The 27,366-nt window shown below is 35.5% G+C and overlaps 1 protein-coding gene across 20 annotated transcripts in view; it reads right to left on the reverse strand.

The window, feature by feature from the left end:
• The window catches only part of DGKB (diacylglycerol kinase beta), an 829,810-nt gene continuing 803,129 nt past the window's right edge, over positions 686–27,366 (reverse strand). For all 20 annotated transcript variants that reach the window (NM_001350722.2, NM_001350711.2, NM_001350717.2 and 17 more), the window contains one exon: positions 686–4,875. In NM_001350722.2, the coding sequence (NP_001337651.1) occupies positions 4,768–4,875 (108 nt within the window). In that variant the 3' untranslated portion in view covers positions 686–4,767. The remainder of the gene's footprint in view (positions 4,876–27,366) is intronic.

The raw sequence follows: 27,366 nt of genomic DNA on the forward strand, positions 1-27,366 counted from the left end.
GCTCCCATTCGCCTTCTCTTATTATGAGTTTCCTTAATTTGACTTCTTTCCTCATGTAAAGTTTTAGCTTTTCAAAAAGTCACTTGCAGATTTACTTTCTCTAAAGGCCTTTTCAAATTTATTCACCAAATCATCTTTTCCTCCTTTGACTATGTCGTATCATATTTTACTTACCTTCATTCTTCCCTTATCCAATTGTGTAATATGGTCATCCGTTTACTTAATTCTTCTAAAAGATTCAAAGGTGTTTAGAGAAGAAATTGTTTCCTTAAACATCTTTTAATTGCTGCAGCCCCTTTGCATAATATGTTTAACCTAGTCAGTGCCCAAGAGATATTTGTTGAAGTCTGTCACACAAAATAAAATAAGAAATTGGTTTCATCCAGAAAATTCAACTCGCTTTCCCACAGTTACATCATTCAGGTTGCTGGCTTACTTGGAATCTAAAATTGCTGGAATAATATGCACAGCAGCAACCTGGGGCCCAAAGCACCACAAATTGGAATAATTTGGTTCTTAATTGCCTATAATTCAGTCCCTAATTACTCCCTGACAAAAGGTAGGGTGTCTGGCCTCATATCCCTAGTGGATATATTCAGTGGGGTAGATGGATTGTTGAGCTGCTGGAGGAGTTCATTTAAGAGACAAAATCTGTCCAAAATGGCAGTAAGAAATGACACTGAACTGAGTGGTTAACGTTTTTATTTCAAAAAACAGGATATTGTATATATCATTTCTGAGAAAATAATTAAGGTACTATAATTAAGTTCCATGTTTTTAAACACAATAAGGTTATACAGAATCTCTCAAATGTGAGTTTACTCAAACTTTATTTAAATATAGCAGAATTTAATTGGGAGTTTTAAGTGGTGATTTCTGCCTCTCACAAAATAAAAGCTCTTTTACAGGGTTTTATTTATTTATTTTCTTAAAGTTTACAGCTTTAATATATGTTACAAGGGTTTAATCTTTTAATAGAGATATTATTCAGTTATTTGAAAAATAACGGAGAACATGATTCAATATTATTCAATTATTATTTAATTGTTCAGTATTGAATAATCCTTTGGGGGTTATACGTGCCATGAAAAGTACATTTTCCTTTTTTTTTTTGAGACAGAGTCTGGCTCTGTCACCCAGGCTGGAGTGCAGTGGTGTGATCTTGGCTCACTGCAACCGCAGCCTCCCGAGTTCAAGCAATTCTTCTGCCTCAGCCTCCCGAGTAGCTGGGATTACAGGCATGTGCCACCATGCCTGGCTAATTTTTGTATTTTTAGTAGAGACGAGGTTTCACCATATTGGCCAGGCTGGTCTTGAACTCCTGACCTTGTGATCTGCCTGCCTCTGTCTCCCAAAGTGCTGGGATTACAGGCGTAAGCCATTGCGCCTGGCCACATTTTCCTTTTTATAACCAATGAACAACAAACTAACGTTGACACAAAAAGGAAAAGAATGATCTCAAAATCTTGTCTCATTCAAGAATACAGTGTGAGATTCAAGGAGAATACAGTGTGAGATTCAAAACATATTCTTCCCTGAAAAATTGCAACTACTTCCCATATGCCTAAAAAACGAAAACAAAATAAAATGTGGAAACACGTATGTGATTCATTAGCCCTCACTGGATTTAAATTTCTGTCTGCAGTAGACTAGGCTAAACATCTGAGCCTTTTGTTTTATTCTGGCTATGATCACATGAACCTGTTTTAAATAAAATAAAAACTGTTTTAAAATGTTAATTTTTAAACTTCCTGCAAGATATCTCCTTCCACCACAATAAATTGATCAGCATTTTCACATGAAATACATGGTGTACACAAGGAAGTGGAAAAAATAAATTTACGTCTTTTAAACTTTCTGGTTCTATGTAGATACCTCCCTTCCTATCTCTTAGAAGCGTGGATATCAAGGTTTACTCTGAAATGTCTCTCTGGAATCTCATCAACTCAGTGCCTAGCAATGTTTAGCAGAGTGCATGTCTCTTTTCCCTCTTTGTTTCTGACTGCTGTTAAGTCCAGCATTAATTTACATTTAAGAGTTTCAGCCACTTAAAACTTTATGTCTCCTATATTAAAAGAGGGCGACTCAATAGCTGAAAATTTATCTGCACACATAGAAGAGAAGTTTCCATCTTGTAAAGCTAACAACATTCATCATTCAATATTTTAATATACTATAGAATTTTCCTTAAACTATATATTTTTCATATGAAGCTGTCATAAAACTGATGAGAATATCTTCTCTGATTTCAAACCCATCAAGTTACGTTTTTAAAAACTACTTTCCAAACCCCAGGGGCAGTATACTTGAAGGGGCAAGTACATCAGTGTATTTAGAAAATGAGTTGAGAAAAGTCAAATTGGATTCCTATTTGAACATTTATTATGGGTACCAAAGAATCCATCTGACTGAAAATGTAACCACTATTAGCACTAATTGTAGTTATACAGCTACACTGAAGTGAAGCTGCATCCCATTATTTCAATCATTGAAATCTTATAAGCAGGTTGTTTAATTTGTCTCATCCCACTGTCTATCCAACAGCTTTCTACTGTACAGATTGTTAAGAATGATTCACAAACTGTTGCTGCCTTCAAACTATATACTATAAAAGGTAGCCAAGACATAATTGTATGTTGTAGCGAACATAAAATAATTTGTGGCTTCAAAATATGTTTTTGACACAAAGCCTGCCTGCCCATTGTAGAAAATTTTGTCAATTCATGTGAAAATATTTATTACCTGCAACCATAGATACAAAAAATCAATGTGTGTGTTACGTAACATTATGTCAGTAATGTACTTGTTACTGTTTTGAGATTTCTTTCTTTCTTTTGGTCTGGATTACTCTTCTGCCAAACAACTTTTTTATTTTATACCAGCGCAAGTGATTGCTGTACTAAATTTGCAATTGTAATCATAATTTTCCTGGGAATGCTAAATTATGTCTTAATTTTATTCAAAAGCTTTTATTTTTAAAGTAATTAAGCTTATTGTTGATTGATATTTACCGTCCAATGTTCCAGGAACACTAAAAGAATACACTTTGTACGTAATCTTCCATTATAGCACATTGCTTGAGAGCAGCTATTTGATATAACAGCATTCAGTTGAGTTTTCAAACCAAAGAACTAAAATTATAGCAATTTCACTTGAAATCCATAAATCCATGCACAGGATTGTGTTCAACAGAATCACTAAATGCTATTTGTTATTCAAAGAAAGATGAATGAATCAATAACAAAATAGAACCGATAAATCATTAGCACTTTAATGCAGAGTGGAGAGAAACTAATAAATCATGCAGTTCAGGCACTCGTTTTCCTTATGGCATGTTTGAAAACATAAAACATGCAATGATGAGATGCAGGTCAATATGAATGAACAATATTACAAGACTGCTCAGAAGCATTTCATTTTACATCATAGGCTTAATGAAACACTAAAAGAAAAGTACTGTTCTGTGATTTCTTTAAACAGTCAGAGACTCCAACTATGCCATGAACACCTTCAACAGTGATCTAGGCTGTTGTTTCCAAATAAACATTTGAAATGTCATAAAGATGGGAGTGGAGTAGGTGAGGAGGAGGGAGCTAATTGCATGCATGATTCGCTTCCAAGAGCTCAGTATTATTACAGGTACCCATTTATACTAGAAATAAACTGATACAATCATTTACTTCCTTCAAGTGTACTTAACTGATCCATGAAAAATTACACCTATATTTATAAATGACTGAAAAAAGCAAGAAATCATCTATTGAGCTTTGATTGTGTTGTCTGGCTTATTGTCTGTCTGTGAAAGGTGAGAATTTTAATCATAATTAATGGGCAACTCACTCGCTTTCCAGCATTTTAGTCATCACAAAATTAATCACAGGAACCCTAAATTTGCTCCACAATGCTTAATTAATTATGCATTAACCCATTTCTCTCAAGCATTGTTTTCTGAATCTTTGGTGGGAAACACATTGATTAGGCACATAGTTTAAAACTTCTATTTCGTTATTGGTGTGGTTATGAATTCTCTCCTAGATTCTCATGCAGAAAGGAACAAGGCTTGCCATATTACCACACTTGACTGTCAAGTAACATGTTTTCACTTATTTCTGGAATTAAAAAGAAAACTAAGCAAAATAAAAACCGCGTTCTATTTTTCAGCATGAGAAAACCTTATGCCTGATATTTTTATTTCCACTCAGAAGAGTTAAGATGTTGAAGAAAAACTATGTATATATAGCAAGGTATTGTAGTCAACTATTTAATAAAATCTTCGAATTAAAAGTTTCTCCTCAAGTCATAGGTCACTGATACACTGATTCTAAAAGGGAAACGTATAGCAATCTGCAATTATGATCATTGTAGCGTTACTGATTAGTGCTTCGTAATAATTGGAATCACACTGAGAATCACGTTTCCCATGGTATTTCCTTTTTCATGTTTCACGGGTTTTTCTCACAGGTTAGTAAAAGGAAATTGGGGAAGAGTTGGGTGGGAGATGTAAAAATCTATGGGAATGCATGCACCAAAAATATGCAGTATCACTTCAGGTAAACTTCTGCTTTCTTCATGCAAAGATGCCTATAAAAACTGAGACAATAAATTTTCTAATAGCTGAATTTTACATTAGCTTAGTAACAAAAACTGTTAAACCACTTCCATGATTTTGCATGAGCAGGAGACTTGAAATGGTTCAAAGATTTCCAGCATATGTGTTCCATGGCCCAATTATGCTAATTCAATTTCTAAGAGTGAAACAACACAGGATTATTCCTTGCTTCGGTTTCTTGTCCTTTTGACGAGGGAGCAGAATAAACCGGTTTTTGGAGGCGGGCCCATCAGCATTGGGGCTTGGTTCTTGTGTGTAATTTTTATCTAGAAAAAAAGAGAGAGAGAGAGAGAGAAAGAATAGAGTAATCTCCAGATAGATACAATACCAATTTGTGAGACTCTCTGTTAAGGTTAATAATATTTCATGAGTGACTGAAACACCGCAAGTGTAAAATGTAATTTCAGAGTTTCTATTATTTCAAAAATATTTTTAAGGGAGATAGGGATATGTACTTAAATAATATCCCAGTGCTCAGGATAATAATTTTAAAAATTATCTGAAGTTGCATTTTAAATAGTATGTTACCTCTAACCTCACTTGTAGCAATATTCCAGAACTGCTTGCTTAGGTTACATGATTATCCAGTATTATTTCTTGACCATTAGTTACGTATCATTTATTGAAGTCAGGAAAGAAGGCACCATTATAGTTTCCAGAGTCCTAGTTACAGCCCAATATCAAGATGTACTTGGTATCAAGGCAAGCCTTATTTATCTTGCTAATCAGATTGTTTCTCTCTTTCAACATGAACTGCAAGGCTTAATTTCCAAACAGTCATTAGAAATGAAAGTTAAAAGTTAACATGCATAAAAGGTCAGAAATGATGAACTAGCTTTCTAATTTGTTAATTAATTGGTAATATAATAGAATCAAATATTGAAAAGCCTGCTTAAAACACTTTGAGAGACTGTTCTAAAGCTACTCGTTTTGATTTCTTTGATATAAAACTACGAATCACCTTAAATGAGACAACCTTAAAGTAGATTACGTCTGCAATTTTCTCTAATTCGACTCTAAATTAGAGAAGACATTTTATGAATATATGCTATGCTCAAAGCTAATTGAAAGCAATTATCAAAGTGGCATTTTGTCTGTGACTTTAAGATACATTGTAAGATAATAAATGATTCTCATTATGTAATAAAAAGGTCACATCTTGCCTTTGGGCTAGTGACGCTAAGAGTTTTTCAAAAGCAATCTGAGACATTTTCTTTAGCGAACTGCGACTAATACAAGAACCATCGCTTATTAAATATCAGTTGTCACCTGCACAGCATTCGCATCAGAGATGAGTATTTCTTTCAAAAAGAAGCACCACCTCATTAAAAGCTGCAAAAAATATATCTCTTAAAGTGCATACCTGACATTTTCAAGTTAAAATGAATATCCTTCACTTGTCATTCACTAATAGCAATGAAACAAAAAAATGTACATCACGTGGACAGGATCATTAAAATCTGCAGTGGGGCTTTTGGGAAATGGAAATTTACTTCACAGTCTAGAAAGACAGAAGTATGTGAAAAACCTTGAAAGAATGAACAACTTTATTTAAGTCTGCTGGAATCAGGTTATTCTGGAAGGATTCAGTGTTCTCTTTCCTGCAAAAATAAATTGCACCTGTAAAAGGCCACTAAGGCTAACCCAGCCTCAAACTCTATGGATATCTGACTTCATCTTATTTTTGTTATCTTATGAACTAGGGAATTGATAGTTGGATAGTTAAGACACCAGAATGCACTTAACTATGTAGATTGAAAATGATCTATATCAGATTTTCTCTCAATAAGTCAGCATTAGAGTATACTGTACCTTATGTCATTGAGATTTAAACTCCTCTGAAATTCTAGCTGTAGACAGGGTCTAATACTGCATCATTCATCATTTATTCATTTCACAAAATTTGTTCAGCCCCTACTATGCTTCAGATACTGTATCAGGAACTTTGAATAAATAGACAATATACAAGCTCTGCCCCCAAGAAATTATAATCTAGCAGGAAAGATAAATTGAACAAGCACATTGAATGGTGTTACAGATGCTGAAATGGGAGGCTAAGCAGAAAGGCACTATTTTTGAACATTGAAAATGAAAATGAATCATTTTACGCACAAATGTCATTTTTAAATGAGTACTGGGAAAGCAGTTATCACATATTACTTACATGATAACCTTAGATTCAAACAGAACATTAAGAGCTAAAGTAAGAAGGTTGAGATTTCGGGTTCATAATTTCTGGACTAAATGCTTTACACGGTATAATAGCATTAGGGCATTTTGGGAAATTAGATCATTATTTCCAAATAGTTGTTAAGACTATGAAAGAAATATATCTTCCTAGCCATTTATATATATATGTTAGTATCAATTTATGACAAAGCATAACCAAAATGTCACATAATTATTATCTATAAGACTTAGCTTCTTCTCTGTGTTTTTTTTTGGCGGGGGCATATAAATTTTGTTTATGACTATTCTTATATTAAAAACTTTTTAAAAAAAAAAATTACATGATTTTATGCCTTTGAAAAAATAGCACAGTATCTCATTCAGTGCTCTTGACACAATGGGACCTTTAATCTATGTGACTAAGTAAAACACAAGTTCTAGTTTGCAGTCACTAATCAGAATAATGGCCAGTACTATTTTAAAAATTATATGTAACCTGTCTTCTTGCTTGTTTAATCATTTCTACAGTCAAAGTACACAACTGTTTCTTTACTCTAACTTTATTTCTGCAAAAAATGAAATCCACATCCTTTTTGTCTGTTGTTTATGGAAACGAGAACCAATTGGTTGTATTTTCTTCTTTGTTAGGGGAGACCACATGGAGGAAACTAGCATTCAGTAAATGCCTATTATGAATGCTGTCTCTTCACATGCCTTATTTCATTGGATATTTACATGTCTTGGTATATTTGGGCAGAAGCAAAATCCTACGAGAGTAATTCCAAGCCACATGGATTGTCGGTGTCACAGTTACAGAAATTCCAGGTGTAGGCTCTAGGAAGCTGCAGAGACTCAAGTGAACCCTCAGACTCAGGTTGCTCATGTGGGAAAATCCTGGTTACGGGGGGTTAACAGGGCCTGTAATTATGACTCTGATGCCTGTTTTGTATACATTGAACATTCTTGCTTTTTTTATTACTCTTAATTTTCTATCCACTAGAGAAATAACAATGAGTAAAAATTTTATCCCCAAAGAATTTAGAATATATTAAGTTTCAGCAATCTGAGGACATGAACCAAATGGCCTTTGAGTGCCTCCTTCTATTAAGCGTCAGGTAATTACTTCTCAGTTATTCCTTGATACATCAAATATTTTGGGGGCACTGGCTGTGAACAAGGCATTTTGCAACATGATTTTGGTTGTTTAGTTTCTAAGAGACTCTGACATTATTATTTGAAAGAGGATACTGGGCACTCATAAACAGTGGTGACGGGGCTCCTAGAAACTGCAATGGTTCCATGACGGTAGAAGAGCATTGCTTACAACATGCAAGGTAAATTCTATCAGATACAGAATGGTGTCCTCCTATAAAACTCTTCCTTCTCCTTATCATGTACCCTTCTAGAAAAGCAACAGTGGCAGAGAAAGGTTCTTCCACTGCCCATGACTATTTCTACTTCTGTCTTCCTGTTTCAAATTAAGACTGGCCACTTCAAAAACTATAAATACGAAAAATGTGGGTTCAGTTTCACTTTTATAATTATTCAATATGAAATAAGGATGCACATATAGAAACCAGTAACAGAATCAAAGATTACAAAGCATAGTCTTCATCTTCTTATTTCTATTACATTTTTAAGGTTGCATAGTTTGATAGTTGTGATAGTTCCACCTCATAGTTGTAATGTTAAGAATAACAGCCAGAATAAAAAATAACGTTGATCTGGCTCTTACTGTGTGCTGAGCATTTTGCTAAGTGTTTTACACACGTTATTCAGGTGCCCCCTATTTCATCCACCTCTTTGAGCTGCCCTCAAAGTCCACTCCCATAAAACATATTATCAGAGAAGAGTGCAAAACTGAAGTAGAATTTCATAAAAGGGATAGAAGAGGGTATTTGTATCTCACAGCACATAGCAAATAATGTTTATTCCCCAGATATTTGTGTTCTCTTCAAAGACTTTGTTCAGCCCAACTAAAATCAGAGGGAAGAGAGATGGGTCTTCCCTGATTAGTTTTCCAGACAGTATTTGGTTCAGCTCGTTGGTGATTTCTTTCTTGCTTCCCTGTCTTCCAGCATCAAATATTTCCAAACCCTTTATTATGAAAAGTAGCATTTCCCTTTCTTTTGTTATCTGAACAACCGCTCGACATCCTTTCCATAAGCATTTATTGAAGCATTCTGTTAAGTTTAGAACAGAGGTGGATCTATTTTCTTTCAGGAATTCTTGTACCTGCTATTGAAATTATTTTAAAAATAATTTTACTTTTATAATGTCTAATTTTGGCCTCCTAACAACTCTGGGAGGTAGCTGTCAACACCCTTATTTTACACTGAAGGACAAAGAGACTTAAAAGGGTTCTGCTACCTGCATAACATCAGTCAAGTGGGTAAATGCAAGAGCTGGGTTTGATAGTTGACTCTCAAATCTCCTGGGCCCTCCTTGCTAATTCCTACCTCTGCACCTTTGTGCTAGTTATTGCCCTAGAGAGCATTCCCTCTCTTTTTTGCCAATCAAATTTCTATCCCTGTCCTGCCTAGCTTAAATCACACATTATTGTAAAATTTCAAAGTGAAGGGATAAAAAGAAGATTCTAAATGTCCTCAGAGAGAAAAAAAAATAGGTCACTTACAGAAAAATAAAAATCAGCATGGCATCAGGCTTTTCAAAAACATTAGCGCTAGAAGACAATGAAGAAACACCTTCAAACCCCAGAGGAAAAGTTAATTTTATCTGAGAACTCTATACTTAGTCAATGTATTGATTAACTTCAAGGGTAGAATGAAGACATTTTCAGTCACAAAAGTATCTAGAGAATTTGCCTCTTATGTACCCTTTAAAACGTATTTGGGGTGTTTTCTAGCAAAGTAAATGAGTGAGCTAAGGAGACGAGTCAAAAAAACAAAGGATTCAACTCAGATCCAGGATGACAGATTTGCAAGAGAGCTAGACAGAAACCTAAAGAGAAGGGCTTCTGGCATATAAACAAAAGGAGTGTGGATAATAGATAAATTGATATGGTAGAGTTTTGTCTTTTTTTTTTTTTTTTTTTTAAGAAAAATGAGATCTATTGTAAGGATCACTTTGCAGAGAGAAGAAAGAAATTCTGAAGCTTTACAGGAAAGAAAATGTGATCGTGGGTTAGTACTTGGTTCTGCAGTTGACAATATTTTTATAGTCTGAATGATTATATATTTTTTATTGATTTAAACAAAATTATTATATACTTCTCAGAAGCAGAACAGCTTAATGGCTGCCTAGGCCCACCATTTCCTATCTAGGGACTTTGAGCAAGTTACTACGATTCATTTCCCTCATCAATACTGTAGAGCTTTTCATATAGTGTCTCACTGGTTTCTTGTAAGGACTAAATGAATCAATGTGCACGAAATGCTTAGACTGTTACCTGGTACAAAAAAAGCACTCAGTAAATGTTAACTATTAGTAATAGAGTAATAGAGGTAAATACAGTAATGTAAGAGTGTTAGAAACCACCTTTCTATAGCACTAAGTAAGTAGAGTATACCTAAAACTAATCCATAAAAAAAAAACAAACAAACAACAAAGCGTATTTCCAGATATGGAGTAAATAATCAGAAGAAATAGTCCAAGAATCAAAGTGGTAGCATCTAATGAGAAGATCTGTTGACACAGAAAAAAGGACACAGGATGGCTATTTTTCTTGCAAGTCTATACATTCTGCTTTTTTTTTTTTTCGTTACACGTGCATATACTATTTTGGTACCAACTTCTAAATACTTTTTAAAAATCCCTCTGCAGGTGATTCTCCTGCACTCTAGTGTTTTAGTTCTCCAAATGTGATCCACAGGCTAGGAACACTGACATCATTGTTAGAAATGCAGACTCCCCGGTCCCACCCCAGATCTTCTGATTCAGATTCTGCTTTCGAACAAGAACGCCAGATGATTCCTCTGTGCTTTTAAATTTGAGAAGCCCTAGCCTATTTGTCATTTTACTTCTCTTCCTAAGTGGCAAGACCAATAAGAATCTGTTGACTGACTGACCAACTGAATAAATGAATGAATGAAAGTCCCTTTTTCTAGGCCCCCAAAACACATGAAAACAAATATCCTAACTTACTCAACTTTAATTACCTTTATTGTTAATGTACTAGGTACCAGCCTACCTTATTTTAGTGTGGAGGATTGCAAGTTGAATAGATACATATGTATTTTTAAACCTAACTGAGGTGCTTGTAGTATAATGATGATAGAAGATATGTGATGGTAGGTTGTAATATGCTTTGAGCTAGGGATATTTTCAGGGTACAATAAGATTGAAAAAATATGCCATTTAGATCATGGTGGAGGGACAGTGGCAGAATTAAAACTGAGTTTTAGTTACATCATCTCTCTGACAGCAGAGATTAGGGGCTGGTGCCATACCAGAGGCATGGAGATCAAATGGAAGGTTAATTTGATCCAGAAGAGAAGTGAAATAGACTTTAGTCAGGGCAGTGCCAATGGGAACAGAGTGGAGGCAGATTTAAGAGAGATTGAGGAGGCAGAAGTACAGGATACGATGGGTGAGTGGATGTGTGGGGCACTGGAAAAAGAGGAAGATTTTACTGCAATTTCCATGCTTGTGGTCTTCGTAATGTGTGTAGTGATGCTTTTTATAGAAAGAGAAGCGTTTTTGGTAGGGGTGAAAACCAGGAAGTTGGTGAACCTACTGTTGAGGGTGACGTTCTGAAGGAGATGCTCAGTATCTTTTGGGTCTGTGCATGTGGTGTTCGGAAGGGAGAACAGGTCTTGAGATAGATTTGGGTTTGATCATCTTATAACAATGTCAGCAATTGAGACGAAATTACTGAAGACCAGTGGGGCATATATGAATAGCAGATGTTAGACTTTGTAACTGGGGAATGCTGCCATTTAAGAGTGCAGCAGGAGAATACAAACAGTCAGAGAGGTAGGAGAAAAACTGAAAGAAGTGCTATCATATAAACATTTCCAATCAGTCCTCAGAGTGCCTATTAATTAGGCAGTCTTCCATTAATTAGGGTGAAACCTTCAAACTACATGAAATAAGGTGAGGCATGCCTCGGTTTGGTACAATGGTCTGTATGTCCGTGATATAAACTGTTAAATTATTTAACTTAATTCTAAATATAGAATTATTATATTAGAGAGTGATCTACTGAATGATATTTAAGTAGTCATTCATATTGCTTCAGGGGTTGGCAAACATGTTCTGTAAAGGATTAGATAATAAATGATTTCGGCTTTGTGGTCTCTGAACTACTCAACACTGCCCTTATACAGCAAAGGCAGTTTTGGGCTATATGTAAATAAATTAATGTTGCCATGTTCCAATAAACTCTATGTCTAAAAACTGTAATTTTAATTCCATATAATTTTCACATTAGGAAATATTATTCCTCTCTGGATTTTTTCAGCCATTTAAAAATATGAAAACTCTTCTTAACTCTTTGGCTACACAAAAACAGGCAGCTGGTCAGATTTGGCTCACAGGCCATAATTTGCTGACCCTTGATATAATTAAGTCAAACACTGAAAATTAAATTCAGAATTATGAGGCATAAGGTGGTAGAAATAATTTTAATTTAAAATCATGATTTATTGGGTCAATGGCTAAAAGATGGATAAAAGTGGAAATAATTTTCTTTGGCGTATCTTTATTATACTAAGTGCCACCATTCAGAAATCATTCTGTGGAAATTCTGAATTAGAATGTATACTAACATTCCTCAATTTTGATAATGTACCAACTGATCAAATTTGGCTTAAATGCATTCTCTTTTTAATTAATTCTCATTGCTTTGCACCAGAGTGGGCTTAATAATATTATGGTTCTTCAAACATACCTCAGCAGGTAGCATTTTTTCCTATTAAATATTCACCCTGTATCTAGCCAAAAATTTTCTCCCTGCTTCATCTCTTTAAGAGTTTATTATCACTGAATTTATTCAGCTACCTTAAAAATGAATGGGGTTTTCAGAGCAAAATAAATACCATAAAATATCTGTGAGTAGAGCTTAATTTAGCAATTATCTGGAACACTAAAAGTTACTTAGCTTGATTCTGGAATAAGATTGTCTCCTTCTAATAATGGAAACCATTTTGAATTCATGTGTGTAGCTGAGCCATATGACAGCGGGAATAAAGTACATGCTAAATTTTTCAGGTCCATAACTGCCAAAAAAGCAAAGCAATGAAACATAACAATTTTCTAAAATCCTTTTGCCAGTTTTTTTTTTTTTTTATGATTCTAGCCATTATTTTCTGGAATGATAATTTCCAAGTTTAATGTTAAAGTCTTCGATCTAACATCAAATTCAGAGAAATCATTGTGAAGACTTAAAATAAAATCCTTAAAAAATGGAGTTGGGAGGTTTACTTGCCAATTAAATTCACAGGAAGTTTAAATATGTATGGAAAAGAGAACACTTATTCCTGAAAGTGATGGACTATTTGGCCACATTGCATGGGAAATATTCATACCTGGATTTGAAATCTCTTTTAACATATAAATTGTGTTCTTCATTCCAAAATATTTTTGTGGCTCTAAGTTAGTTGTCAGGGAAGGTCAAAGACATTTTAAAAGCATTTTTATTATTTCCATGTCTCTACAGAGAAATGATCCTCACAATTTTAAACCAGTAACTGTTCATCTTTTCTTAGAGTATCTCCAAATCTGTGGTCACATGGAAAATAGAAGTCAAAAACATAACAAAACAATACAAAAACACTTCTTTTCTTAACTAGAGAATATTTACAACTTGTGACTTGACTTTTCTTACTGAGTAATATTTCAACTAAAATTTTCTATATGGCCTTTTTCACGTAGTAATGGTGTTAAGGACATAGACCCAGGACATGAGGCAAGGATTTGTTTCCCAGATTAGTCACTGGCAGCTATAAAACCCTGACCAAAGAATCTCAGTTTTGACCTTCGGTCTCTGTTTGCTAAAGTAATATAACAATAGCACCTACTTTGAAAGACCACTACAAATACCAAATAAGGCTATGCATGTCATATACATGCTTAATAAATGTTATTATTTTTAGTGTTACTATATTTAGTCCCGTGGAAACACATTTTGCTAACCCCTCTTCTATCTGAGACAACACAGCTTTCTGTGTTCCTTGGGTGGCATTGGGAAATGGCATATTATGGCCATCTGCCTTCTCCCTGTGGCACCTGGCAGCATTCCCGCCACATGCCAGACACCAATTTTACCCAAAAGAAAGGTTAGAAAAAAATTAATGTGGGGCATTTACTAACCATCAGAGAGCATAATTATTTCTGTTTGTTTGTTTGTTTAATCAAGGGAGTCCAATAAGCTCACACTGTCTTATTAGAAGAAGAAACTTCTTTAATGGCCCAATTTCTAGACTCAGCCATAACCTTGGCTATTTGGAGCATCATAGCACTGATCTGAAAGACTTTCTCCTCAACGTTAAACTACATCATGGTAATACAATTGGATACAGATGTTCAATTTTGATAACTTATCCACAAAAAAATTGCCATTGCTTGGTGTTATGATAATTGATATTTCTAACAATGTGCTTAAGGCATTGAATAGGGAGAATAATTCAGTTGAAATAGTACTGGATTAGAGAGGAAACTGATTGTTTTTTCAGGTCCTCCTGTTTCAAGGTATTGTTTCATCATTTATTCAGTTGTTCAAAATGATCCAGAAACCCAGATCATCCTTGACACCTTCTTTTCCTTACCTCTTATAACCAATAATCTATTATTGACTCTAATCATTTTCATCCCCCAAATATTTTTTGTATATCTTGAAATTTTTTTCCTTTTTACTACCATGTTCTAAGGCCTGAACAATTATAGAATTCTTCTAAATGGTCATTACCTCTCCCGCCAATTAATTCCCCACCTAGAATGATCTTGTCACCGTGCACATCTACTCACATCACTTTCCTGTTGAAACCTCTCTTTACTTCCATGTTACCCTTAAATTAAAGCTAAACATTTCTCATGAGGGCTCCCAGGTCCTGCTGTTCTGCTCCCACTGGACCGTATGCCTCACCCCACGCTGCCTCTCTTCTTTCATGTCTTCCTTCTGAACCCTGTACACACCAGGTTCCTTCCCACACTGTACTGTTTTCTCTGCATAAGACACTCTTCCCTCTCTTTGGGGCCTAGTTATATCCTTCTCCTCTTTTAGTTTTCAGGTCAATTTTGAGTTTCTTTGAAAGCCTTCCTGGACCTTCTACAACAAGATCAAACACCTCTATTATACCCTGTCACAGTATAATAGTACCACAGTACCGTAGTATCACAGTTCAAAGGATCATGAACTTTCCTTCACAGACCTTATATCATTATTGAAATTTTATATTTGTGGGACTATTTGAGTTATGTGTACCTGCACTGAGTTCAGAGATCATATCTTTTTTTGGTTCACTTTGTATTGTTTTCTCTCCATTCATTGTAACACTAGGACAAAATGTCAGCAGCTTCATAGAGATGGAATTCAATAAATGTTTGCTGAAAGAATGAATAAATGAATCACTGATATTCTTTTTTTGAGATGGAGTCTTGCTCTTGCCACCCAGGATGGAGTGCAGTGGCGCCATCTTGGCTCATTGCAACCACCCCCGTCTCCTGGGTTCAAGTGATTCTTCTGCCTTAGCTTCCTGAGTAGCTGGAATTATAGGCGTCCACCACCACGCCCAGCTAATTTTTGTATTTTTAGTAGAGATGGGGTTTCACATGTTGGCCAGGCCATTCTCAAACTCCTGATCTTGGGTGATCTGCCTGCCCTCGGCCTCTTAGAGTGCTGGAATTACACGCAGGAGCCACTGTGCCTGGCCAATCATTGATATTCTTGACTTGGCTTGGATAAAAGAGTTGTAAATTATATTTATGGATTTAAAAATCATGTTTAATAATAGCTATTTTGTTCACCTCACAGATTTGTCATGAGAATGATATGATATAATCTATCAAAAGTCTTTGAGTTTTTCAAAATAATAATAGCTATTTATGACAAACCCACAGCCAATATCATACTGAATGGGCAAAAGCTGGAAGCATTCCCTTTGAAAACTGGCACAAGTCAAAGATATCCTCTCTCACCACTTTTATTCAACATAGTATTGGAAGTTCTAGCCAGGAGAATCAGGCAAGAGAAAGAAATAAAAGGTATTCAAATAGGAAGAGAGGAAGTCAAATTGTCTCTGTTTGCAGATGACATGATTGTATATTTAGAAAACCCCATTGTCTCAGCCCCAAAACTCCTTAAGCTGATAAACAACTTCAGCAAAGTCTCAGCATACAAAATCAATGTGCAAGAATCACAAGCATTCCTATACACCAATAACAGACAAACAGAGAGCCAACTCCTATTGGCAATTGCTACAAAGAGAATAAAATACCTAGGAATACGACTTACTTACAAGGGATGTGAAGGGCCTCTTCAAGGAGAACTACAAACCACTGCTCAACTGCTCAAGGAAATAAGAGAGGATACAAATGGAAAAACATTCCATGCTCATGGATAGGAAGAATTAATATGAAAATGGCCATACTGCCTAAAGTAATTTATAGATTCAATGCTAGTCCCATCAAGCTACCATGGACTTTCTTCACAGAATTAGAAAAAACTACTTTAAATTTCATATGGAACCAAAAAAGAGCCCGTATAGCCAAGACAATCCTAAGCAAAAAGAACAAAGCTGGAGGCATCACGCTACCTGACTTCAAACAATACTACAAGGCTACAGTAACCAAAACAAACAGCATGGTACTGGTACCAAAACAGATATATAGACCAATGGAACAAGGAACTTAAACAAATCTACAAGAAAAAAACAAACAACCCCATCAAAAAGTGGGCAAAGGATATGAACAGACACTTCTCAAAAGAAGACATTTATGCAGCCAACACACATATGAGAAAAAGCTCATCATCACTGGTCATTAGAGAAATGCAAATCAAAAACCACAGTGAGATAACATCTCACGCCAGTTAGAATGGCGATCATTAAAAAGTCAGGAAACAACAGATGCTGGAGAGGATATGGAGAAATAGGAACACTTTTACACTGCTGGTGGGAGTGTAAATTAGTTCAACCATTGTGGAAGACAGTGTGGCGATTTCTCAAGGATCTAGAACCAGAAATACCATTTGGCCCAGCAGTCCCATTACTGGGTATATACCCAAAGGATTATAAATCATTCTACTATAAAGACAGATGCACCTGTATGTTTACTGCAGCACTATTCATAATAGCAAAGACTTGGAACCAACACACATGCCCGTCAATGATAGACTGGATAAAGAAAATGTGGCACATATACACCATGGAATACTATGCAGCCATAAAAAAGGATGAATGAGTTCATGTCTTTGCAGGGACATGGATGAAGCTGGAAACTATCATTATCAGCAAACTAACACAGGAACAGAAAATCAAACAGCACATGTTCTCACTCATAATTCAGAATTGAACAATGAGAATACATAGACACAGGGAGTGGAATATCACACACCAGGGCCTGTTGGGGGGTGGGGGGCAAGGGGAGGGATAGCATTAGGAGAAATACCTAAGGTAGATGACGGGTTGATGGGTGTAGCAAACCACCATGACACATGTATACCTATGTAACAAACCTGCACATTCTGCACATGGATCCTGGAACTTAAAGTATAATTAAAAGAAAAAAAAAGTCTTTGAGTTTTTTAAGTCTCCTCCAAAGAAATATATGCAACTGTCTTCTGAATATTCGAGGAAATAAAAATAATAAACTATGATATTCTAGTCAGTTCATTTTTATTAAGCACTTTAAGTTCAAATTTTTATTTAAAATTAGTATTCTATCCCAGGAAGATCCCTGTGAAACAGTGGACTAGTTCTGTATTAGTGATAAGCAGGCTCACTCTTTAAAATTTTCAACAATACAGATTATTGCCTTTTAATGAAGAGCTTAGAATGTGGTAGCCTTGTTTTCTAATTTTAATACACAAAATCGGAGATCACAGAAAATTAATAGTTAGAAAAGGCAAGGTCAGAAGGCAAATGTGAGAGGATAGTCAGGCCCAGACCTTGTGAGTCTATAGTCTGTATCCACCAGCAGAAAGATTTCTAACTGCTAAAAGCAATCAAACCTGTGCATTATTATTCTGATGATAACCATCAACTGGGAGATTATTTCCAATTTTGCACATTCCAGAGGAAGATATTCAGTTTCGAACTGGATGTGAATATTGGTCCTCTTGCAAACTAATGACAAAATTCTGATAAGTACATACAGTTTTATCATTTTTATCATATTTACAGGCTTGGGTCACATCAATATAAATACATAAGGTATTACATATCTGGCATATTTCTCATTTAATTTTTAACCTTTCATGTTTTTAGATATTGTGTCCAACATAGATTTGGAGTTCCTACATGAGAATATGATTATGAGAGATATTACTATCTGCTAGCCAAAATGAAATTAATTTTTTGAATTGGAAACTAATGACTAGATTAATTCAGGTTTCAAAATAAAGAATAAAAGAAAAACTTAAATTCATTGAACAATATTTAAATTGAATGCATTAAAGTGAAGAGTGACAAAAATGTAAGTTTAATTGTAAACATAACATTTGGGATGGAAAACATTTAAAATATGCTATGACAAGAAAAAAATCTTTAAAATATTTTTATACAAAAAGCAATCATATCTAATCAGCTTGGCATTAATTAAGCTCTAATAATGTACTTCAGTATCTTTCCAAAGTAGTATGATCCATTTCCCCTTTATCCAGGTCGATTTGTGCACATTATGGTGTCATCATAATTTTAAAACATACTGAGAAAATGACAGAGCTGCAAAATTAAAATAAATGATTAATGGTATTTTTTTTTCATGTTTTGTACTAATAGGTATTACTGAGCCTTTAAATTAATAGAGCTGTCAAGCTCACGGGTGTTACAGATCCAGCAATGAACCAAAATGGAAATTATATATTCCAGAGACACCTAAAGATGACACCTTGGAATATTTTAAATTTTAATTAGTAGGTGCAATGGTTTTGTTCCCCTGTAACTACTGCAAATTAATTGGAAATTAGTCACAATCAATCCTTTTTTTTTAACCAATCTGAAATGAAAAGCTTGGTGCTTTACATCTTAACATTGTTGCTTGAGGGCCAGAAAGCATACAAGCAGTAAATTGTGTTGTCAATTACAAAAAACAACAATTGTTATGAAATTAGGAAAAATTATGCACAGGTAAACCAAACTAATTAATGCATAAGTAACAGGGGAACACACAAAATAATGTCCAACTAAACACTGATGTGCCAGTCTTTGGAAAAATAAATGTTTAAAATTGTAAATTTATGCAAAAGCATTTACTAATGAAGATTTAGGTAAAAAGGTGCTTTTAGTTTATGTTTTATTTAATTGCTTTTGGAGTCTCACTACCACTCACACCTTAAAACATATACTCACAAGAACAGCAGTCTGCTCATGCCAGTATGTTTCAAGGGGGCAGAAGACTATTAATTTTCTCTCTTCAAATTATCAACATTTAGGCTTATTAAATAACAAACTGGCCAGGCACAGTGACTCACCCCTGTAATCCCAGCACTTTGTGGGAGGCCGAGGCAGGCAGATCACCTGAGGTCAGGAATTCGAGACCAGCCTGACCAATATGGTGAAGCCCTGTCTCTACTAAAAATACAAAGATTAGCTGGGTGCGGCGGCAGGTGCCTGTAATCTCAGCTACCCGGGAGGCTGAGGCAGGAGAATCGCTTGAACCTGGGAGGCAGAGGTTGCAGTGAGCCGAGATCATGCCATTGCACACCTGCCTGGGCAACAGCAGAGAAACTCCATCTCAAAAACAAAAAACAAACAAAAAAAAAAACAAAATAAAAAACCTCACCACCACAACAACAACAAAAAATACTGTAGTATTTATTTCTTTAACAGATATCTATAGTATTTAAATATTAGGCAAAATGCAATTTCTAGGCACATCAGGAAAATACTAATTATCTACACCTACCTGTTAAAGCATTTTCTTACTGTTTACATATGGGTTAGTCTTTTTCTTTCATCACTAAAAATACACGTTCTTCTGTTGATTTTTTCTCCCACTCTGGTAAAATAAGCCATTAGAGCAACTTAAGATTCTTTAAAAACGGTGTGTCTACCAAGTCAGCAAGTGTTGCTACAATCGCTGTGCAACTTTTAACTAGAAAATAATATTATTTTCACATTTTCAAAACAAGGCTACTATCCAGATAATGAAACTGGTACATTAAGAATTATTTAATGATATTTAAAGTTAAAGAATTTAATGCAACGGTCTTGGGAGATTCAAGAGTTATGTAACTATGCGGATAAACTTCATCGCACTATTTCAGAGCACTGTTTTCAGTGCATCTATTCTAGATGAGTTTTAACATAATTTTCTTTTTATGTAATTATGAAAGTTAAACATTATGATAAAACAATGTCCTTCTTTAATATCAGTTTAACTGTAAATGATAATGAGGAAACAATAATGATGTTGCTACATTTTCTGTAACACTTTGGCCGAATTTCAAAGATGTCAAATACTGTCCCACTGTAGAATAACATGGGTTTAACTTTTTGGGGGGGTATAATTGGGGATTACAGGGAATTTAGTCTAAATTATGAAAAAGAAGAAAATTCAGATGTATTATTAAATATAACAATACTTAATATATACCAGAAATTAATTAATGCTTTCTTAATATCACTAAATGTGATATATGGTAATTTTCAACAACCATTCAATATTTCTTTGTGACTCGTAGGTAGCAGGTTTTAGGACTAGGAAAATAATTCCAAGAAAAATATTAAATAACTCTCCAAAGTCCAGAAGTCACTAAAAAAGCAAAGACAAGACCGTGGATTCCAGCCCTCATTTCTATTTTCTGCCCCTTTGGATAGTAATCTTCCTAAGCAGTTTTTCCCCTCCTTCCTTACAGATATCCCAGAAAACATTATTTTCAAGGAGTGAAAAATATTTTTAACCTCAGACTACATTGAATTTCTGTTAAAGTGCTAGGAAAGTTGACTATTTCAGTTGCAGATGCCAACTTTCTCAAAATAACTTTTAAAATAGTAGAACCTAGAATAGGTTTTAAATAAAAATCTGGTAAACAGAAGTTTTAATAAAATGGCTGAGATTCTGTAATAAAAGAGTGGTAAGGTTGTACAACTTACTAATTTGTTTCCAGTCCTCTGTTCTGTGATTAGTTAATTTACATAGGAGGTAAAAGGAGATCCACCTATCACAAAAAAATGCGAATTCTAGCTATTTTTTAATTTCTCAAATTTGCCCTATTCCTGCTATAAATCCTTTCTCATGTACTGTTTATATTTAGGCTTTAGTAGCTTCTAGTCAAGAAACATAGTTCTATCCCCAAGTTAAATTAAAAAATACCTATTGTTTCTTGAACTAAAAATTAAGATATAAGCACATAGACTATGGGAAAAAAGTGATCAACGGATTCCATTATATTTTCCAATATATATTATGTGAAGTGCTCATTTAAATGGTATTTGAAATAGAAAGGATTTTCATGATATTCAACTTCGAATGGGCCTTTGAAAGGACCATTAAAACAATCTCTTCTTACAATGGTTTATGTTGCTTCTTCACGTAGATGCCCTAGGCTGTGTTTGCTAAGTGTGGAACTGCTAAAGAAAGCCAAAATATAAAGGAGTCTCATTGGACTACTGTCTGTTTTACACCTGTGCTCCTTTATTCATCACTGCACATTTCAGAAAGCCTCAGAAGCATGGTATTTCTTCCTTTCTGAACCTTTTATCCTTAGGCAAACAAGCTTAACGAACTGCTGACAATTTCAGCAATAATAAAAGGTAGGAACAGTCCCGGTTCTATAACTCTTTGTTTCATGACCTTGGACATTCACCTAACCTCATCCGTATAGTCTAAAAGTGTCTTATACTAACAGATAACTTACTTGGAATAGTCCTAAAATGTGTTCGCCTACAATGTAATTTAAAAAAGAAAATCTCATGTGGTCATCCACATCATTACTCGCCTATAGAAATACCTAAAACCTTAATCTTATAAGTGGGTAAAAACAACTAAACTTTTTTGGTCAATTATTTTCTCTCAATGTGGTAAATGCTGTCTCAAACTGCTTAAATCTGGGGCACAAGAGTAGAAAAAATATCAGTGATGTTTTCTCAAATTGGGTATGTTTTAAGATTCAAGGTTTAGGGCATTTATTAGACTTATTTAGTATTTTTGGAAGGAATATGAAAATGGGGAATAATCTATGAAATCTCCAAGTCAGCACGCAGGTAGTTCTAGCTAATAATATGCCAATCTGATGGAGAGAATTTAGCCAGATCTCAAAATAGTCATAAACAAGAAAATCTAATGGTGTGGGGGTGTGGGTTCCAATTTCAGTTAAGAAGGAATAAGCACTCTTCACTCTATCTCTCCCACTGAATGCACTATAAACCCTGGGCAGAACACATGAAGCAGATATCTGAAGTTGCTGAAAAGAAAATAATAAAAGGCAAATTGGGGAAGAAGACCAGAACATGAAGTGCCATCAAACCAGTGATGAGTTTTTAGTTTTTAGTTTTTTTCTCTACTCTTGCACCTCCTGGCCTGGACTTAAAAGCAGAACAAAAACTGGAATTGTATACCAGGTACAGATAGAAAGTGCCAAGAAAAACCCTGTCCTACTGGTACAAAAATAGGAAAGAAGGGCCCTACAGATCAGAGTGAATGGGAAAAATATTCGTTAATCAGGCCAGACACAGTGGGTGGCTCATGCAGGTAATCCTACCACTTTGGGAGGCCAAGGCAGGCGGATTGCCTGAGCTCAGAAGTCTAAGACCATCCTGGCTAATAGGGTGAAAACCCATCTGTACTAAAAATACAAAAAATTACCTGAGCGTAGTAGTGTGTGCCTGTAGTCCCAGCTACTAGGGAGGCTGAGGCATGAGAATTGCTTGAACCCGGGAGGCGGAGGTTGCAGTGAGCCAACTTCATGCCACTGCACTCCAGCCTGGGTAACAGAATGAGACTCCATCTCAAAAAAAAAAAAAAAAAAAATTCTGTTAATCATTTCCATCCCAGTCCTCTGGCAATTCCATGGCAGTGGAAGGTAATTAAAACTCCAATGGAGGAGACATCTTTTCTCTGACTAGAGAAAGTATGTTCCCAAAGCATGGGGGGAGTCCTACTCCTTTTTTCTCTCTCTATTCCTTTATCACAGAACCCTGGAGGCAGATGCTACTTCGAGAAATATATGACAAAGTGAGGAAACAAAAGCCTTGGATTATTGGTCAGAGAAACAATATGAGAGCCCTGGGAGTAAAAAAAAAATATCAGAGAGATCATGGAGAGGAGGTGGCTTGAGAAAGCTATCCTATGAAGTTGCATTTGATCACCTGAGTTTATCCCTTAGCTGTGTATGCATAGATTTGACCTTAACAAACATACTGATGACTTTGAGAGCTGCATTTGGGGGTATATCATCACCAAGTTTTCAGACAGGCATATGGATCTTTTACAAGTAAGATACATCTGAATAACATTGCAAACACTTTGAAAACCAAACAAACATACTGGAACCACAACTCACAGAAGATAGAGCAGCTTTTGTAACCTGAACCTAACAGAGTCAACTACCTGCTAAAATAGTAACAGCAACAACAATAAATTAACATTTCCTGTGAGAATTGAAAATACCTAGAGTCTTATAACACAATATTAAAACTGTTCAGAATATAATAAAAAGTTTCTCAAGATATGAATCACAGAAAAATCTCAAAAACACACAAGGGGAAATATAGCCAATGATGCAAACCCTGAGATGATACAATTGTTGGAATTAACAAAGACTTAAGAGGTATTATAACCATGCTCTAAGAAGTAATGGCAGATACTCTTGAAATGAAATGAAAGACAGAGAGCCTGAACTGAGAAATAGAAGATAGTTAAAAAATGAATCACTGGAAATTTTAAAACTGAAAAATACAATGAACAACATAAAAAATAACTGAAAGGACTCAACAACAGAATGGAGATAAAAGAGAAAAATGTCAGTGAATTCAAACACAGGTGAATAGATATCCAATGTAAACAATAGAAAATATAGAAGGAAATAAAAAGTGAACAGACTCAAAGATCTATGAGACAATACATAAAGTGCTTAACACACGTCATCAGAGTTTTAGAAGGAGAGGAGAGAGTGTGTGGCGTAGAAGTCAATATTTGAAGAAATAATAGCTGGAGATGTGCCGATGTGGCAAAACATACAGCTACAGATTCGTGAAGCTCAGTGAAACTAAAACAAGATAGGCTCAAAGAAACCCATGCCCAGACTCATCAAAGTCCAACTGCTGAAAACTAAAGACAAAGAAAAAAATCTTGAAAGCAGCCTAAGAAAAATGACGTATTACATATTGCAAAGCAATGATTCAAACGACTATGAATTTCTTATCAGAAATTGCACTATGTAAGAAGACATTTGCAAAGTATGAAGGGGAATTAAAGATGAAATTTAAAAATGCTTACAATTAAGTCAGAAGAGCTGGATGCAGGCATGCGTAGCCGAAATACAAGTCTGTGAATTGGAATGCTGTTAAGAAGATATCAACAGAGTCACAGGAGTACAAAGGATCAGGCAAATATTTCTGACAGATGGGAAGTTAAAAAGGCTTCATGAGGAAATTGCTTCTAAGCTTGGCATTGAAGGAAGAGATTTTATTTTATTTTTAGTATGTATGTATTTATATCTCATTGCCTTCCAGAAAGATTTTGAAGTAACTTATAAAAATACATATATCCCAATAGGACAGAATAATTAATTCAGGCAATCTGACTAAAAGGGGAAAATTATGTGTATGAAATTAATAAACCATAGGTAAGACTAGATGAAAGAAATGCAAACCATGGGCCGGGTGCAGTGGCTCACGCCTGTAATCCCAGCACTTTGGGAGGCCGAGGCTTGTGGATCACAAGGTCAGGAGATCAAGACCACCCTGGCTAACACGGTGAAACCCAGTCTCTACTAAAAATTAAAAAAAAAAAAATTAGCCAGGTGTGGTGGCGGGCGCCTGTAGTCCCAGCTACTCGGGAGGCTGAGGCAGGAGAATGGCGTGAACCCGGGAGGTGGAGATTGCAGTGAGCCGAGATGGCACCATTGCACTCCAGCCTGGGCAACAGAGCGAGACTCCGTCTCAAAAAAAAAAAAAAAAAAAGAAATGCAAACCATGAGTCCTAGATAACTACTGGAAGAAGCCACAGATTTGGAGGTAGCCTGCCTGGAGACCAGAAGAATGAATCTATTTCTAAAGCACAAAATAGAGGGTAAGGATTTGAGGCAAAAAACGAAGTACTATGCATGGTAATCCTCTGGGAAGTGGTTCCTATGAGGCATAGCAGTCTGGTCCCGGCCTTGGGAGAATAATTTAATGTCATGACAAAGATTCTGAACTTTTTTCTGTGTAAAATGAGGAGGCATTGAACTTTGAGATCAAGGGAGTAAGATCATCATAGCTGTGTTGGTCAGTAGTAATTCTGGCAACAATATGATGGATAGCTTTGGCTGCAGTGGGAAGCAAAATATGTATTACATAAAAATAAATAATATAAATAAGATGAAAAGGGATTTTCTGTTTTAAATGATAGAGTTGTAATTAATTATTAGTATTAGAAATACATTAAGGCAGCCAGGTGCCATGGCTCACACCTGTAATCCCAGCACTTTGGGCAGCCAAGGTGGGTGGATCACCTGAGGTTGGGAGTTCAAGACCAGCCTGACCAACATGGAGAAACCCCATCTCTACTAAAAATACAAAATTAGCCAGGTGTGGTGGCACATGCCTGTAATCCCAGCTACTTGGGAGGCTGAGGCAGGAGAATCGCTTGAACCCAGGAGGTGGATGTTGCGGTGAGCCGAGATCACACCATTGCACTCCAGCCTGGGCAACAAGAGAGAAACTCCATCTCAAAAAAAAAAAAAAGAAAGAAAGAAAGAAAGAAAGAAAGAAAGAAAGAAAGAAAGAAAGAAAGAAAGAAATACATTAAGCCTCTGAAGAGTGACTGAGTGAGGCAGCAAAGCATCATAATTAAGAGATTAAAACCCAATGGCCTATTTCTGCCTTTTGCTGTGTGGCCTTGGGCAAGTTACTTGACTTCTCTGGCTTCAGGTTTTTTCTTAAATTTATAATATGGGGATTATAATAACTTTACTGACATCTTAGGGTTGCTGTGGAAATTAAATAAGTAATAAACATGTACACATACAACAGAAACTGGTACATGGTAAGCAAGGTAAATTTTATATCTAGGTATTGTCACCAGGGTTTCCTCCAAATATCTCCAGGCTGTTCTTATGTCTTGAAAAATCCAGCAACCTTTGTCTAGTTGATATTAACTTGCTGGGTCTTGAAAAACTTAAATTTATACAACCTTTTCCTTTATATCTTAATGGCCTGAGATTATTGTGTATTTAGCAAGCGATTAAAGAGTAACTAACACTTTAATGTTATGATCATTTTAATGATTTGAAAAAACAAACACATAAACAAAAAATGTAATAAGCTCCAGAATACTGTTTTTCTTTTTGAATAGTCTGTATTTTAAAGTTATGGTGGGATGTGTGAAAAGAAGTGTCAAAATGAACTCTAGATAACTGCAGTAGCTAGAGCAACAGAGAAAAGACCAAGTCTTCCTAGTAGAGGACACAAACAAAGGCAAAGCAAGCAGTCAGTGTCCAAGTCAAGGAGGTGCTAGTGTCAGGGAGGGGAACTGGCAGTCAAGTCAGAAAATAGCATCTCATGGAATGGGTCACACAGTAGAAGTCTGGGCAGTAGGAGACAGGTGCTCATAGGGTACCCAGGATTTGAAAGGATCATACCTAAGACAGCAAGACTAGCAGGCTTGGTGGGGATTGGTCCCGCACCAGGTCAGGGCTCAATTGCACAATGAAGGTAGTTGTAAGCTAAGACTGGGCAAACAGGTTTAAGATCTTAAGAGGTATTATGCCAGGGAAGGTACAGAAAAAAGGCAAAGAGGGGTTAAAACATACATAAATGTTTTCTAGAAGTTGCCGTGGCCTCAGCTATCACTTTGTAGAGTCTTCTTAGTCTACCTGTGATCATTTCACTATTTAATGTATAATCTGTTCATGATTTCCTTTCCGTTCTCTACCACATGGAAGGAAGTTTCAGGAGTTTTTTTCTGTCTTCATCATAAACAAAATACCCAGAGTAATTTTGCATTAAAATCTTGTTGGCACTACTTTTCATAAATGTGTCATGAGTAATAATACATGCCTATTAATATTTCAAATAATTAACAGAATGCAGCTTTTTGAATGTGCAAAAGCAATGTATAATTGATAATCCAGAGGGAAGTGGCCCAAAGAAGTTTAATCATACCATACAGGAAATAGAAGGATTAAATCTTTTGAGATTGAGAAAGAATTTCTTCTCTGATACATTCAAATTCTTTGCTTTGAGAATATAATGAATAAAGATAACTCAAAATAACTTTTACATGTATTTATATATAAAAATATGTGAATGAATTGCTAGCCAACC

This window comes from Homo sapiens, chromosome 7, assembly GCF_000001405.40.
Source record: "Homo sapiens chromosome 7, GRCh38.p14 Primary Assembly".
NCBI lineage: Eukaryota > Metazoa > Chordata > Mammalia > Primates > Hominidae > Homo > Homo sapiens.